Here is a 15,480-nt window from a genome sequence, read left to right as displayed (position 1 = left end):
TCAACAAAATACTAGCAAACACGATGTAATAGTACATCAGAAGATAATATACCATGATCAAGTGGGTATTATACCATGGATGCAAGAATGGTTCAACATATGCAAATTAATAAATATGATACATCATACATTACATATTACATAAACAGAATTAAAGATAAAAACCATATGATCATTTCAATAGATGCAGAAAAAGCATTTGTTAAAATTCAGCATCTTTTCATGGTAAAAAAAAAAACCCTCAATAAAGTAGGAACATAACTTAAAATAATAGAAGGAATACAACTTAAAATAATAAAGGTCATATATGATAAGCCCGCAGCCAGTATCATACTGAGTGGGGAAAAATGGGAAGCATTACTTTTGAGAACTGAACCAAGATAAGGGTGCCTGCCTTCACCATGCCTATTCACCATAGTACTGGAAGTCCTAGCCAGGACACTCAGGCAAGAGGAAGAAATAAAAGGTATCCAAATTGGAAGAGAGGAAGTCAAATTGTCGTGTTTGTTGATGATGTGATTCTATATCTAGAAAACCCAAAAGGCTCCACCAAAACACTGTTAGATTTGAGTAATGAATTCAGTAATATTGCAGTATACAAAGTCAACATACAAAAATTAGTAGTGTTTTGGCTGGGTGCATTGGCTCACATCTGTAATCCCAGCACTTTGGGAGGGCAGGGTGGGTGGATCATTTGAGGTCGGGAGCTTGAGACCAGCTTGGCCAACATGGTGAGACCTCGTGTCTACTAAAAATACAAAAATTAGCCAGTCATAGTGGTGTGCACATCTGTAATCCCAACTACTTGGGAGGCTGAGACAGGAGAATCACTTGAACCTGGGAGGGGGAGGGATCTTGGCTCACTAGCCAAGATCGCACTACAGCACCCCTGCACCCCAGCCTGGACAACAGAGTGAAACTCCGCCTCAAAAAAAAAAAGTCAGTAGTGTTTCTATACACCAGTAATCATCTAGCAGAGAACCAAATCAAGAAGCCAGTCCCATTTACAATGGCTACAAAAAATAAAATAACTAGGAATAAATTTAACGAAGGACGTGAAAGATCTTTACAATGAAAACTACTAAACATTGATGAAAAACTTAAAAGGAGGGGCCATGTGTAGTTTCACATCCCTGTGATCCCAGCACTTTGGGAGGCCAAGGTGGGAGGATGGCTTGAGGCCAGGAATTTGAGGCCGGCCTGAGCAACATAGGGAAATCCCATCTCTACAAAAAATTTACAAATTAGCTGAGTGTGGTGGCATGCACCTGTAGTTCTAGCTACTCATGGGTCCGAGGTTGGAGGATCACCTGAGCCCAGGAGCTTGAGGTTATGGTGAGCTATGATCAGGCCACTGTACTCCAGACTGGGTGAAAGAGCAAGACCACGTCTCAAAAAAATAAAAATAAAAAGGATGCAAGCGAATGGAAAGACATCCCATGCTCATGGATCAGGAGAATAAATATTGTTAAAATGACCATATTGCCTAAAGCAGTCTTACAGATTTAGCGCTATCCCTATCAAAATACCAATGACATTTTTCACAGAAAAACATCCTAAAATTTGTATAGAAACAACAGAGCCAGAATAGCTAAAGCAATCCTAAGCAAAAAGAACAAAACTTGGAGGAATCACACTTCAAAGCTGGAGGAGTCCCTTCTTCAAATTATGCTACAAAGCTACAGTAAGCAAAACAGCATGATATTTGTATAAGAATAGATCCATGGAACCACATAGAGAACCCAGAAGTAAAGCCACATATTTATAGCCATCTGGTCTTTGACAAAGTTGACAAGAACACACACTGGGGAAAGGATACCCTTTTCAATAAGTGGTCCTGGAAAATTTGGATTTCCATATGCTGAACCCCTACCGAACCCCTGTCTCTCACCACATACAAAAATCAACAAAAATCAACAAAAGGTGGATTAAAGACTTACATGTAAGACCTGAAACTGTAAAAATGCTAGAAGAAAACCTAGGAAAACTCTTCTGGATATTGCTCAAGGGAAATAATTCATGACTAAGACCTCAAAAGCACAGACAACAAAAACAAAACCAGACAAATGGAACTATGTTAATCTAATTAGCTTCTGTACAGCAAAAGAAATAATCAACAGAGTGAAGAGACAACCTGCAGAATCAGAGAAAATATTTGCAAACTGTGTCTTATAGGGGAGCAATATGCAGAATTTACAAGGAACACAATTCAACAACAAAAAACACCAAATAATCCCATTAAAAAGTAGTCAAAGAACATGAATAGACATTTCATTTTTTTTCTAAAGAAGACATATAAATGGCCAACAGGCATTTGAAAAAAATGCTCAACATTGCTAATCATCAGAGAAATGCAAATTAAAACCATAACTAGATGTCATTTCACACCAGTCAGAGTGGCTATTATTAAAAAGACAAAAAGTAACAGATGTTGGTAAGGATGTGGAGAAACGGAAACACTTATACTGTTGATGGGAATGTAAATTAGCATAGCTTCTATGGGAAACAGTGGGAGATTTCTCAGAGAACTAAAAATAGAGCTACCATTTGATTCAGCAATCCCACTACTGGGTAGCTACAAAAAGGAAAATAAATCATTATATCAAAAAGATAACTGCACCTCTGTGTTTATCGCAGCACTGTTCACAATAGCAAAGATAAGGAATCACCTTTAAGTGTCCATCAACAGATGATTGGATAAAGAAAATGTGATTTTTATATATATACATACATACATATATATATATACACGTGTGTATATATATACACGTATATATACACGTATATATATACATATACACACATATATACATATATATACACACACATATATATATACACATATATATACACACACACACACATATATATATCTATCTCCACACAATGGAATACTATTCAGCCATAAAAAAGAATGAAATCCTGTCTTTTGTAGCAACATGGATGGAACTGGAAGCCATTATCTTAAGTGAAACAAGCAGACACAGACAAATACTGCATGTTCTCACTTTTAAGTGGGAGCTAAATAATGTGTACACATGGACATGAGTGTGGAATGATAGTGAAGACTCAAACATAGGAAGGAGGGAGGGGATGGATGGTGAGAAATTACTTAATGGGTAGAATACACATTATTTGGTGATAGATACACTAAAAGCCAAGACTTCACCACTACATGTAAAAAAGTTACACTTGTACCCCATAAATTTATACAAATAATAAAAGATTCCTTAAACCACAGCATACATAGTTACGTTTACTGTTTCAAGTGCAAATACTAGTCATAATTTTAGTCTCACTTCAGACACTTGAAATATGCACGTTTGTAAAGTGGTTTCTAGAGTGTTACTTTATGTTACTTGCTTTGGTGGCAAAGTTGGCAGTCAGACCTAGGTTGGGTGTTCCAAATGGAAGACTCCATGTTAGGTAAAAGGTAAATTACCACTGATGGTTATATTATAGGAATCTTTGTTACGTAGTGTTTAGAATAACTCAGTTTTTCTTACTGTTTCACACTACAACAGTCAACACAGAAGGTTTCTGTGACACTAAAATAAGTGGAGATTTCTCCCCACCAGCAAGCAGGCAGTGGACATCAGTTGGGTGTCCTCCAATCCAATTCGGATGCTCTACCTGGAGATAAGGTCAGATCCCACAGGTCGAAGGCTCAATTCCACAAAACAGCCCTACCATTCCCACTGGTCACAAGTCCGGCCCTCCAGAACTTCTGACCAACTGTTAGGGCTCCCACAGTTACCCCTTCTTTGGGATGGATTAATTTGATAGAGTGGCTCACAGATCTCAGGAAATACTTATCTTTACTGATTTATTACAAAGGATATTTTAAAGAATATGAATAAACAGGCAGGTAAAAATATATATAAGGCAAGGTCTCAAAGGGTCCTGAGCTGTCTCCATGCAGTTGGTGTGGCTGGGTTCCTAACATGTGGATGAGGTGGTGTTCACCTTCCTGTAAGCCTCCAGCTCTCAGGAAGCTTTCTGAACCATGTCCTTTTGGGCCTTTTATGGAGACTTCATTACACAGGCATGATTGATTAAATGATTAAACCATTGGCCCTTGGTGATCAACTACCATTCCTCCCATTCCTGGAGTTTGGAGAGTGGGTCTGAAAGTCCCAGCCCTCTAATCCTACCTTGGTCTTTCTGGTGACCAGCCCCCATCCTGAGGCTACCTAGGGGCTGCCAGCCATTAGTCAGTCATTAACATATAAAAAGACACCATTTTGGAGATTTCAAAGATTTTAGGAGTTGCATGCAAGTAAATGCGAATGAAGACCAAATATATATTTCACAATATCACATGTAGCCACTCACATTAAAAAAAAAACACACCTCAGGAGTTTCCAAGTTACAGACAGAAAGATACCACGATTATCATATCACTTACAGCAAAATGACTTCTCAACTAGTTTAGGAGCTATTGTTGGCTGTTGATTCACCTCAGCACTGCTTGGTATCTGCACCCTACCTCTCTTTAGAGGCTGCCTTGTCAACTGAAAAATGCACCTGACTTCGAGCAAGACTCTTTCCTTAGGTTCTGGATCTGTTTGAGCCCCATGGCACTGAGCTGGAATCTGAGGGTCTTGTTCCAAGGATGTGATGATGTGGGAGAATGTTCTTTGAAAGAGCAGAAATCCAGTCTGCATGGAAACAGCCTGTAGAGTAGAAGTTTCCAGTGATAAGTGTTCACTGTTCTAAGGAGGTACACCACAGCTACCTGAATTTTCCCAAAATGAGTGCTTCTGTGCGTTACAACTGGCCTTTGTACTTGACTGTGATGACTTTGTTTTTTCTTTTCAAGTTCTAGATGAACATGGGAAAAATGTTACAATCTGTGTGCCTGACTTTGGTCAAGACCTGTACAGAGATGAAAACTTGGTGACTATACTGGGGACCAGCCTCTTAATCGGATGTATCTTGTATTCATGGTAAGTCTTGGGAGTTACTCAAGGTCACTTTTGCAGACTTTAAAATTACAGGAAAAGAATTGAAATAACTTTCAGTAGCTGTGAGGCTGCAACCATTTGAGGAGGGGGGAAAATAACCACAAGTAAAAAGGCGAAGAGCGTGAACTCATATTTGAACTTCGTTCACCTTACTTGTTTTTATTTGGGGTAAATAAAGCAAATATATGGTATGTAAATATTTGAACTTCGTTTACCTTACTTGTTTTTATTTGGGGTAAATAAAGCAAATATATGGCATGTTGCAGCACCGTTGCCTAACCCCCTTTAAAAGATGGTCGAATAGTAGTTTGCTATACCTTTACTGGAGGGCAGGGGAGCACAAAGTGAAGAAGAGATAGAATGTGCCAGCATGTCCTGGCAGCTTTCTGATCCAAAGGAAATAGCTTTCTTCTGCTGTTGATGGAAAGAGTACAGAGTGCTGTGTGCGTGGTCATTCTGTGCAGACAAGAAATGTTCATTCTCTTTTCTGCTAAACCCACAATGCTGTTGTTCACTCGGCAAAGCAGCTCCTCCAAAAGTAGATGTGATATATGAGTGGGCTGTGTTTCAGATGCTTGTGGTGGGGGTTATTCCACCTTTAAAAGGTTTAAAAGGTTGCTAGAGGGAGAAAAGTCAAGGATAGAAATGGCTAGTTAATCTGGATATATATTTCGCTGATAACTAAGCTTCCCTTTAACAGTAACCTTTTCACATTTAGCCTTTACTTCTGTGTTTACATTTTGTTAATGTTCAGTATAAAAATTCAATTCCATTGAATTCAGCCATAGGCACATTGTAAACTTCCTTTTTGCTGAAACGAAATACTCCTGGTGGTGATAGCTTGTATAAATATAATGTCTTTCTGAGCATGTTGGCATTTTCTCTTACCTCCTTTAACAACTTCTACTATTAGAAAGGGACCAACGGGGACACAGACCTTTTAGAGTCTATTTGCTCAGGGTCACACATCAAGCAATAAAATGCTTGTTGTTTTACAGGTAGGTGTTAAGATGATGGTGACATACATTCATTCTTGGCCTGTGTGACATAGTGACAGAGTCTCCTTGTTGTTGCAGAATGGACTGTGGTAACTTCTTTCTGGCCTTTCAATTTTATTAATTCCTAAGTTGTTCGCAGAGTACCTACAATATAGGAAGCAGGCTGCGTGGTGCAGTGGCTCACGCCTATAATCCCAGCACTTTGGGAGGCTGAGGCAGGAGGATCACTTGAACCCAGGAATTTGAGACCAGCCTAGACAACATAGCAGACCCTGTTTCTACGAAAAAAAAAAAAAATCAGGCGTGATGGCACGTGCCTGTGGTCCCAGCTACTTGGGAGGCTGAGATGGGAGGATCACTTGAACCCAGGTGTCTAAGGCTGCAGTGAGCTAGGGGTGTCTCCACTCCAGCCTAAGCAACCGAGTGAGACCCTGTCTTTTGAAAAACCAACCATGAAGATATTTGATAGAATAAAATCATGTTTTTGTGGGTTACTGGGTACCCAATGAAAAAAAATATTTGCCCTTGGCCAGGCGCGGTGGCTCACGCTTGTAATCCCAGCACTTTGGGAGGCAAAGGTGGGTGGATCACCTGAGGTTAGGAGTTTGAGACCAGCCTGGCCAACATGGTGAAACCCCATATCTACTAAAAATACAAAAATTAGCGGGGTGTGGTGGTATGCACCTGTAATCCCACCTACTCCGGAGGCTGAGGCTGGAGAATTGCTTGAACCCAGGAGGGGGAGGTTGCAGTGAGCTGAGATCACGCCATTGCACTCCAGCCTGGGTAACGAGAGAAACTGTATTTCAAAAAAAAAAAAAAAAAAGAAAAAAAAAACCCTTTAAATAAAGTAGAGTTTGGATTTGCCATAAACCCTTCAATGGAAAAGATGGCAAAAATTCTTCTTAGCCTGCTGCATAATGGTTACCACACATAGGGCATTTCACAACATGGAATTTTCACCCTATCATATTTTCTCACTATTTCTAGCAGGTGTAAAGAATTCTTCTGAGTTGGCCCTTGAGTGAGAGATGATAAATAAAATGTTGTTTCTTACAGGACTGAGGTACCATAGTGGAGATTGGTAAGGGCTGGTCTGATATTCCCAAAAGATGTCAATTTTCAAAGTTGATAGCTACTAAAAAAAAAATCTGTCTAAATACCAGCAACAAACATTGTTATTGAATTCGTAAACCACAAAACTGCAGTGTATGGTGGGATGAGAACATATAAAACTGCAGCCCCTACAAAGTGGAGATGAGGATGACCACTCTGCTCTGTAGCGTACTTCTGTAATCTGTAGGCAAGAGCACACTCTGTGGGCTGGGCCCCCTAGGAGTTAGTTCCCCCGGGGTCCATGTGATTGATGTTTGCTGTAATTACTCACTGCAGCTCTTCGAGGGGTCAGCTTTAAGAACACTAAATTCAGGCTTTGTAGGGCCTGGGAATAAAAGGAATGCTGTAGGGGTGGGAGTTAGCCCAACTAGGGTTTTTTCAGATCTGGACTTCTGAAGAGTTTGTTTTCCTTCCTGACTCAGAGGAATGAAAGGTTGGAGGATGTTACAAAAAGGCCACATCGTCCGTGTGGGAACTGTCATTTGAACATAATTGCAGGAATATCTAGGATTCTTGATAGAAATTGCAGGAAGCCAGAGACTATAGATAGTATGTAAGTTAAAAGGAGAAGAAGGCCAAGATTGCCTGGGGTCCACTCTTGTAAAGTTGTAGAAGACTGGAAATCTCCCTAGCTCCTCTCTTTCCCTTCGCCCTCCAGAGCCCCCAAGCCCCACCCCCAAATACTTGTTTCCTTTGGGGTATCTCCATCCTGACTCTTGCAGCTGGGGTACTCTCTAGGAGTATGTTTTAATGTTTGTAGCCTCAGCTCAGAAGAAGGGCTCAACCCAAACCTACTCCCTGCCTTTCTGCCTGGGGCTGCCTTCTCTCCAGAGCCTCCTTCCATTGCACCCAGGAATCATTGCTGTGAAAGAACATCATAGCTTGGACCCCATGTAAGCCCTAACCTTGGTCCACTTGTGGGAGTTCTCTGATAGCTCTTTTTATTTTTTTAGATAAAAAAAAATGTTTTAAGGCAAGTTCTCACTATGTTACCCAGGCTGGGTAAACTGTCCTTAAGGGATCCTCCTGCCTCAGCCTCCCAAGTAGCTGGGACTACAGGCATAACCATGACACCTGGCATTCTGATGGTTTTCTCTCTCTCTCTCTCCTTCTTTCTTCCTTTTTTTTTTTGAGACGGAGTTTTGCTCTTTCACCCAGGCTGGAGTGCAATGGCAGGATCTCAGCTCACTGCAACCTCCGCCTCCCAGGTTCAAGCGATTCTCCTGCCTCAGCCTCCTGAGGAGCTGGGATTATAGGCGCGTGCCACCACGCCACCATGCCCGGCTAATTTTTGTATTTTTAGTAGAGACGGGGTTTCACCATGTTGGTCAGGCTGGTCTCGAACTCCCAACCTCAGGTGATCCGCCCGCCTTGGCCTCCCAAAGTGCTGGGATTACAGGCGTGAGCCGCCATGGCCAGCCCTGATGGCTCTTTCTATAGGCGCATCCCTCCACACCCCTTTAGTCTGGAGCTTTGCTGTGACAAATCCTGGCCTCCACGAACTATTTCTTAATTCTTCCCTTGGTCTCTGGATTTTGATTGAAATTGTTATTCTGTTGCCTTCAACTTCAGACTGTCAGCCTGGACAGGATCCCAGAGTTGATCAGGTCAGTCTCCTCATTGTACATGTAAGGAAGCATGGAGCCTATACCTGTAGCTCTCTACTCCCAACTTCGGGCAACCTTTCCTTGAGGCTCCTTTTCGGGAGTATTTAGGGACACTGGTGGATAGTCTCTCCCCGGCTCTTTTTCTTCAGATGGCTTGGTGTAATGTCCCCTGAGGGAGAAAGATAAACTGGATGACTTGCGTAATTATATTATTACAAGGCATTTGCACTATAAAGTTTCCTGACCATTCCACTTTTATCTGTGTTTAAGAGAAAAAATAATTCTTAATATTGAACCATCTTTGAAAATATCCTTTTAAATATAAAACTGGAAAAAGTAAGAATCTTTATTCAATGTCAAACAACTTCCTAGTTTGAAGTGGGGAGGTTCGCAGGTTGGTGTGATAGCATTGCCGAGGGGATTGTTCTACATTAAAAAAAGTTGGGAAATCAAGGAAGAATATTTATTTTTTTGGTACATTCTGGGCCTTTATGGGGGGGTGGGGAAATTTGTATCTTCCCCACCAGGAGAGGGGGAGATTTGTGTCTTCATTTTGGGAATTCTGCTCTGGCCTGCCTGCCAGCTAGAAATCTCCAAGTTAGAAATCTTCCACCCCGTGGCCAGGCGTGATGGCTCACGCCTGTAATCCCAGCACCTTGGGAGGGCAAGGCGGGTGGATCGTCTGAGGTCAGGAGTTCAAGACCAGCCTGACCAAAATGGAGAAACCCCATCTGTACTAAAAATACAAAATTAGCCGGGCATGGTGGTGCATGCCTGTAACCCCAGCTACTCGGGAGGCTGAGACAGGAGAATCGTTTGAACCCAGAAGACAGAGGTTGTGGTGAGCCGACATCGAGCCATTGCACTACAGCCTGGGCAAAAAGAGTGAAACTCCATCTCCAGAAAAAAAAAGGAAAGAAAGAAAAAGAAATCTTCCACCCCATGCCCCAGGTTCACAGAGAGCTCAGGTCTCCTTTGGGTTCTATAGCACAGGGGAGCATGACTGATCTTCATCATTGCACAAAGGCTGGGAATAGTCACGGGATCTGTCAAGGGCCTACCCTGTACGTTTGTCAGGGAGGCGGAATGTGTGATCTCCAGGAAAGTTTGGACGTGTTATTTAGAGATTTTCTGTGGTCTAGTGGACTTTGGCCAGCTTCAAAAGCATCTGCAGTGCCAGTGTTGAGGGGCACCTGCATTGTGCATTCTTCTGCCAGTGTGAAGGGGTTCTGGGCACTGTAGTGGTTCTGCAGGGAAACAGGACACGGCTTTTCTTTTTTTTTTTTTTGGCTGTCACCATGACTGCAGAGCACTGCTGGCATTTTGGCTGGGTTGGGGTGGGGTGGCAGCAGGCAGAGACAGTAAACACGCTGTGGTGTGTTAGGCATTCTCCGTACAATAAAGCATTGTCTTAACCCAATGCTGTAAGTCTCCTCCTATCCCCACGGGAAATACTGGGTTAAAGTCACACCTATCTTAGCACAGGAAGAGGTAAGGCTTATAGGTAACCCAGGAATTGTTTTATAGCAATTTGTGCTGTGCTCACCAAACAGTGGTCTTTGTAATAGCCTGAATGCAGATAATAAGAATTTCCTAGGCTTTAAGAGCTTATAAAAAAAAAACCTTTTCTTGATAATTCCAAGAAGAGTGTTGTATGGAGAAAGGCTACAACTGAATAAAGATCTTTTTTTTTTTCCTGCAACATCTGCCTCCCGGGTTCAAGCAATTCTCTTGCCTCAGTCTCCCGAGTAGCTGGGATTACAGGCGCCCCCCACCATGCCCGGCTAATTTTTATATTTTTAGTAGAGACAGGGTCTCACCATGTTGGCTAGGCTGGTCTCGAATTCCTGACCTCAGGTGATCTGCCCGCTTCAGCCTCCCAAAGTGTTGGGATTACAGATGTGAGCCACCACGCCCGGCAACTGAATAAAGATCTTAATGTAGGGTAACATCTACCTGTAGAAGTCACATGGCATTAATGATGCTCTGAATGTAGTTCTTTTTAAAAGTAAAATCAAAAGCTTCCCCATGTTAGGCCTCTTTGATGGTGAAGTGGCAAAGGAGCCCAAATCAAGAGCTTTGTTTTCCGGAAATTACGTTAACCCAAAGAATTTATAGAGTAGAATATTTACTCTGAGGCTTTGTTTTTCTTTTTGAGACAGAGTCTCACTTTCTCGCCCAGGCTAGAGTACAGTAGCGTGATCTCAGCTCACTGCAACCTCTGCCTCCTGAGTGTCAAGCAATTTTCCTGCCTCAGCCCCCTGAGCAGCTGGGATTACAGCTGCCGGCCACCACACCTGGCTAATTTTTGTATTTTTACTATAGATGGGGTTTTGCCATGTTGGCCAGGCTGGTCTGGAACTCCTGACCTCAAGGGATCCACCCGCCTTGGCCTCCCAAAGTGCTGGGATTACAGGCGTGAACCACTGCACCTGGCCTATTCTGAGCCTCATAAATAATGAATGTTAACCTTTCAAATGAAAATTTCAGATAGTGATCTCTTCTTAAAATTAAAAACTTATCTTTTCCCCTGTGAAAACTATACACTGTACTAAATCAAAACTTGTATGCACAGGATATGTGCCACTCTTTTTTTTTTTTTTTTGAGACAGGGTCCTTCTGTCACTCAGGCTGAAGTGCACTGGTGTGATCATGCTCACTACAACCTCCCAGGCTCAATTTATTCTCCTGCTTCAGCCTCCCCAGTAGCTGGGACTGCAGACATGTGCCACCACACCTGGCTAATTTTTGTATTTTTTGTAGCGACAGGGTTTTGCCAAGTTGTCCAAGCTGGTCTCGAACTCCTGGGCTCAAGCGATCTACCTGCCACAGCCTCCCAAAGTGCTGAGATTACAGGTGTGAGCCACCACACCCAGCCGGGCCACTCTTAAATGTCGGATTAGGTGTTGTGTTCCTTGGGTGCGCAGTCATTGGGAGATGTTTCTGTCTTCCTCTGACCAGGCACACAGTCAGGAGGTGGAGTGGCATGGGCCTGGATTAGCATGCATCAGTTCAAAGCAGAAATGAAAGTGATGCTGTTGTACTTGAGTGGACCACAAAAGAAACAGTGAACTTGGATCTCAGTGGGCTTCTGTATGAGAAAGCTTTTTATTGTTTATCTCTGTCTCATTGATCTCTCTCCTTGGGAAAGAGGATGAGACTGCGCAGTGTTGCCTCATGGGGTTCGCTGGATTGAGATGAGTGTGTGTCCCCACCTTTCCATGAGCAGACCAGCTTCTTGAGCACCAACACGCCCGCCCATGTCAGGCCAGCACAGAAGCTACATGACGGCAGGATTGTTGCCTGTGTCACTGAGTCCCCAGTGCTTAGAATCGGGCCTGACACATAGTGGCCTTCAGTAAATATTTGCTAAATCAATCTGTAAAGTTAGCTGGAACCCTAAGTATTGTATATATTTGCTTAAAATGTTCTGTGTTTTTGTTTTGTAGAGATGAGGTCTTGCTATGTTGCTCAGGCTCTTCTCAAACTCCTGGCCTCAAGTGATCCTTCCACCCCTTCCTCTCAGAGTATTACAGGCATGAGCCACCACTTCTGGCCTGTTTTTGTTTTCAGGAAAAATAAATTATTTTGCCCCATGCAAGGCAATTTGTCTAACATTTTACCTTTCTAGGTCTCAGGGAAGTGGCAGAATTTTTTATTACCTCGACTGCTACTCTTCCAAACAGCAAGCCTTGTTCTACTATAGGCTATCACAGTAAATAACTGCGACTTTTGCTTTCATGCCCTTGCTTTCTGTTGCCATCTCTGGGCTCGTTGCTTTTGATTCCCTCTAAGCAAGACTAGTCAAAGGGAGGGAAAGATAAACTGAAATTAGAAAACTATTGTAGCATTTGAGGGAGGAGAGGCAAAAAGCAATACTGAAAACCAAGATATCTTACTTCTCTACCTACAACCTTCTTTGCATAAAATGATCTAATGCAATCCATGTAAAATGATATCAACTATAGAATAAGCCAGCCAATTTTGGAATAAGGAGAGGTATTAAAATAGATTGCTTTGATTTAAGTCTCCTGAACGGTAGGTTACATTGAGGCTCTCGTCGGAGCACTGGCCAGCCGGCTTTCCCCTTCATTCCATGTGTTGTAATGTGTTAATATGCCCAGCTGACGTTTTTGTCTGTTTCTTAGTTTGACATCAACAACAAGATCGAGTTCTGACGCTCTGCAGGGGCGATACGCAGCTCCTGAATTGGAGGTAAGTTCATTTCCTTTTCCTGTCCTGCTTCATCTCAGAAGATCCATTTCTCAGGAGGGCCTTTTGTGTTTGTGTCTTTATCAGTCTGCATTCCGTGATCCTGTTTTTCTGCTGAGGAAAGATTTTTGTATAGAAAAATAAATGCTGGCCGGGTGTGGTGGCTCACGCCTGTAATCCCAGCACTTTGGGAGTCCGAGGCGGGTGGATCACCTGAGGTCAGGAGTTCAAGACCAGCCTGGCCAACATGGTGAAACCCCATCTCTACTAAAAATACAAAAATTAGCCAGGCATGGTTGCTCACACCTGTAGTCCCAGCTACTTGGGAGGCTGAGACGCGAGAATCACTTGAACCCTGGTGGCAGAGGTTGCAGTGAGCCAAGGTCATACCACTGCACTCCAGCCTGGGCAATAGAGTGACACTTTGACTCAAAAAAATAAAATAAAAAAGAAAAATAAATGCTTTCCTGCTTTCCTTTGTATGCTATGGGATTAAAATGAATCAGTCCATTCTTGATTTTCTGTAAGAAAGCTGGCCTCTTGGGTGGCATCCTGCCGCTCACCCCCAACCAGAGGCTCAGGTAACCTTGTCAGGCTGCACCCTGCGCTCTTCCCTTGCCGTAGTGGAGTCTTGGTGGGTTTTATTTTAACTTCTGATCCACCCACCTGTTTCATACTTGTCTGTGCCCTCCATACACAGCGTGGCTGTGAGATTATGTAATAGCTGTTTGGAAGAAAGGAGAGAGGAAAGGGAAGGAACCATATCTGCTCTGCCTGACGCTGTTGAACGTTGTAGATACATTAACTCATTTGTCAGTTCCATCAGGTGGGCGTTTTGTCAGGTAGAGTGTTATGGACAATACATACATTGGTTGCCTGCACATCCAAAGCCTCAAGGTGTTCAGCAGATGCCTATCAGTCAACAAAATGTCTGTTATTTTCTTAATTGTGCAAGAGTCTTTCTGGGGCTCTCATCTACCAACAACAGCAAGGTCTAATCAGATGGAGGCAGCCAGGGAAGGACTCAGCTGTGACCCAAGAACGAAAAGAACCAGGGGTTCCAAAGATGGCTAAGACTTACAGCACTTGCTATGTCCCAGGCACTGTTCTAAGTTCTTCCTATGTGATTTCACTTAATCCTCATAAAAACCCAGTGACGTGCTATTACCTCCATTTTACAGAGGGGAAAACCAGAAGAGTTAAGTCATTTAAGCCTCACAGGTTTTGATTTGCCAGAATATAAACCGTGTACTCTGGCCCCAGGATCTGTGTTCTTGACCACTGCTGCCCAGGAGCTGAGCTGCTGAACCCTGGTCCTTGCTGCTGACTGCGGGCAGCTGGTTTCTGGCCACTGCCTGCGTTTTAATAGCTTTCCGTGGATGGAAAAGCCCTGGTGTCTGTCTAGATATGGGCATTTTACTCTGCAGCTGGGTGTCTGGGGTTGGTCTCTCTTGCACCTGACCTGGATATAGTGAGCCATTATGAAGGGCTGTCATCTGCCAACATCATTCACCAACTCTTTCTGTTGCCTAAAGGAGAAAATTGTGCTGAGTTTGAATAGGTTACTGCCTATTATAGAGAAGAGAATGGTCTGTAGAAGGGGTGTTTATTCTCACCATTGACTAGGTGACCACCTGCTGAGGTTGCATGGTTATGGTTTCAATGTCCCTATTGTGTACAGAGTTCAAGCTCAAAGAACAGCAAGTCTCCAAGTTAGATTTAAGAGAGGATGTTTTTCTTCTCAGTCCAAGGGAAAATGTCCGAGTGTTTCCTTCTGAACTGGAGAGCATGCGGGATGGAAGTTGGTTTGCTCTCCTGCGTCACATTTCACAGGATACAACTTTGAAAGTGAGAGTTCATAGTTTCTTATGGTAACTTGAACTTCAAAATAACTAAGACCTCAGCATACCGTGTCTTGGGCCCACTGAATGAATTAGTGGTTTTTAGACCATGGCACTTAATCCAAGCTCCTGTTAAGGCTAATACCTCCGTTAAAGGTTTCCTTGCCAAGCAGGGAAACAAGGGCTTGGCCTTGATACACAAATGAGATGAAGGCTCAAGCTCTCATATTCTTATCCTTGGCTCTCTGTTCTTTGTAGTTGAAATATCTTCAGCCACAAAGTGCTAAGGGCCCTGCACTTCCCAGGCTGTCTTAGTACTCTGTTTACCAGAGTCCTTCTGAAATCACATACTTTTTTTCTTTGCTTTTTTTTTTTTGAGACAGGGCCTCACTCTGTCACCCAGGCTGGAGTGCAGTGGTGGGATCACAGCTTACTGCAGCATCAAACTCATGGGCTTAAGCAGTCTTCCTCCCTCAGTCTCCCAAATAGCTGGGACTATACATAACCTGATTTTTTAAAATTAAGTTTATTGTTTTGAGTAGGTAAGAAATAATGGCCGGGTGCAGTGGCTCACGGCTGTAATCCCAGCACTTTGGGAGGCCGAGGTGGGTGGATCACCTGAGGCCTGGAGTTCGAGACCAGCCTGACCAACATGGAAAAACCCCGTCTCTACTAAAAATACAAAATTAGCCAGGCATGGTGGCACATGCCTGTAATCCCAGCTACTTGGGAGGCTGAG

General features: G+C 43.0%; 1 protein-coding gene across 8 annotated transcripts in view, besides 2 other annotated features; it reads left to right on the top strand.

The window, feature by feature from the left end:
• Positions 1 to 15,480, top strand: part of SERINC5 (serine incorporator 5) — a 144,824-nt gene that overhangs the window by 92,264 nt on the left and 37,080 nt on the right. For 7 of the 8 annotated variants that reach the window (NR_126061.2, NM_001174071.3, NM_178276.7 and 4 more), the window contains 2 exons: positions 4,823 to 4,949; positions 12,837 to 12,903. Coding sequence is in view for 6 of the 8 variants with exons in the window: in NM_001174071.3 (NP_001167542.1) it covers positions 4,823 to 4,949; positions 12,837 to 12,903 (194 nt within the window). In the remaining 2 variants the exon portion in view is untranslated. The remainder of the gene's footprint in view (positions 1 to 4,822; positions 4,950 to 12,836; positions 12,904 to 15,480) is intronic. The other variant, NR_126060.2, reaches the window with a different exon arrangement.
• Positions 3,893 to 4,869: an enhancer, noted in NCBI's record as "NANOG-H3K27ac hESC enhancer chr5:79454739-79455715 (GRCh37/hg19 assembly coordinates)". NCBI's record gives its function as "activates a minimal SCP1, AML or CMV promoter by ChIP-STARR-seq in naive H9 embryonic stem cells {active_cell/tissue: H9 hESC(naive)}" and the evidence as "EXISTENCE:reporter gene assay evidence [ECO:0000049][PMID:30033119]".
• Positions 11,312 to 11,811: an enhancer, noted in NCBI's record as "H3K27ac hESC enhancer chr5:79447797-79448296 (GRCh37/hg19 assembly coordinates)". NCBI's record gives its function as "activates a minimal SCP1, AML or CMV promoter by ChIP-STARR-seq in primed H9 embryonic stem cells {active_cell/tissue: H9 hESC(primed)}" and the evidence as "EXISTENCE:reporter gene assay evidence [ECO:0000049][PMID:30033119]".

Source organism: Homo sapiens, chromosome 5 (assembly GCF_000001405.40).
Source record: "Homo sapiens chromosome 5, GRCh38.p14 Primary Assembly".
Taxonomy (NCBI): Eukaryota; Metazoa; Chordata; class Mammalia; order Primates; family Hominidae; genus Homo; species Homo sapiens.
This window is presented reverse-complemented; position numbering and strand designations above follow the sequence as displayed.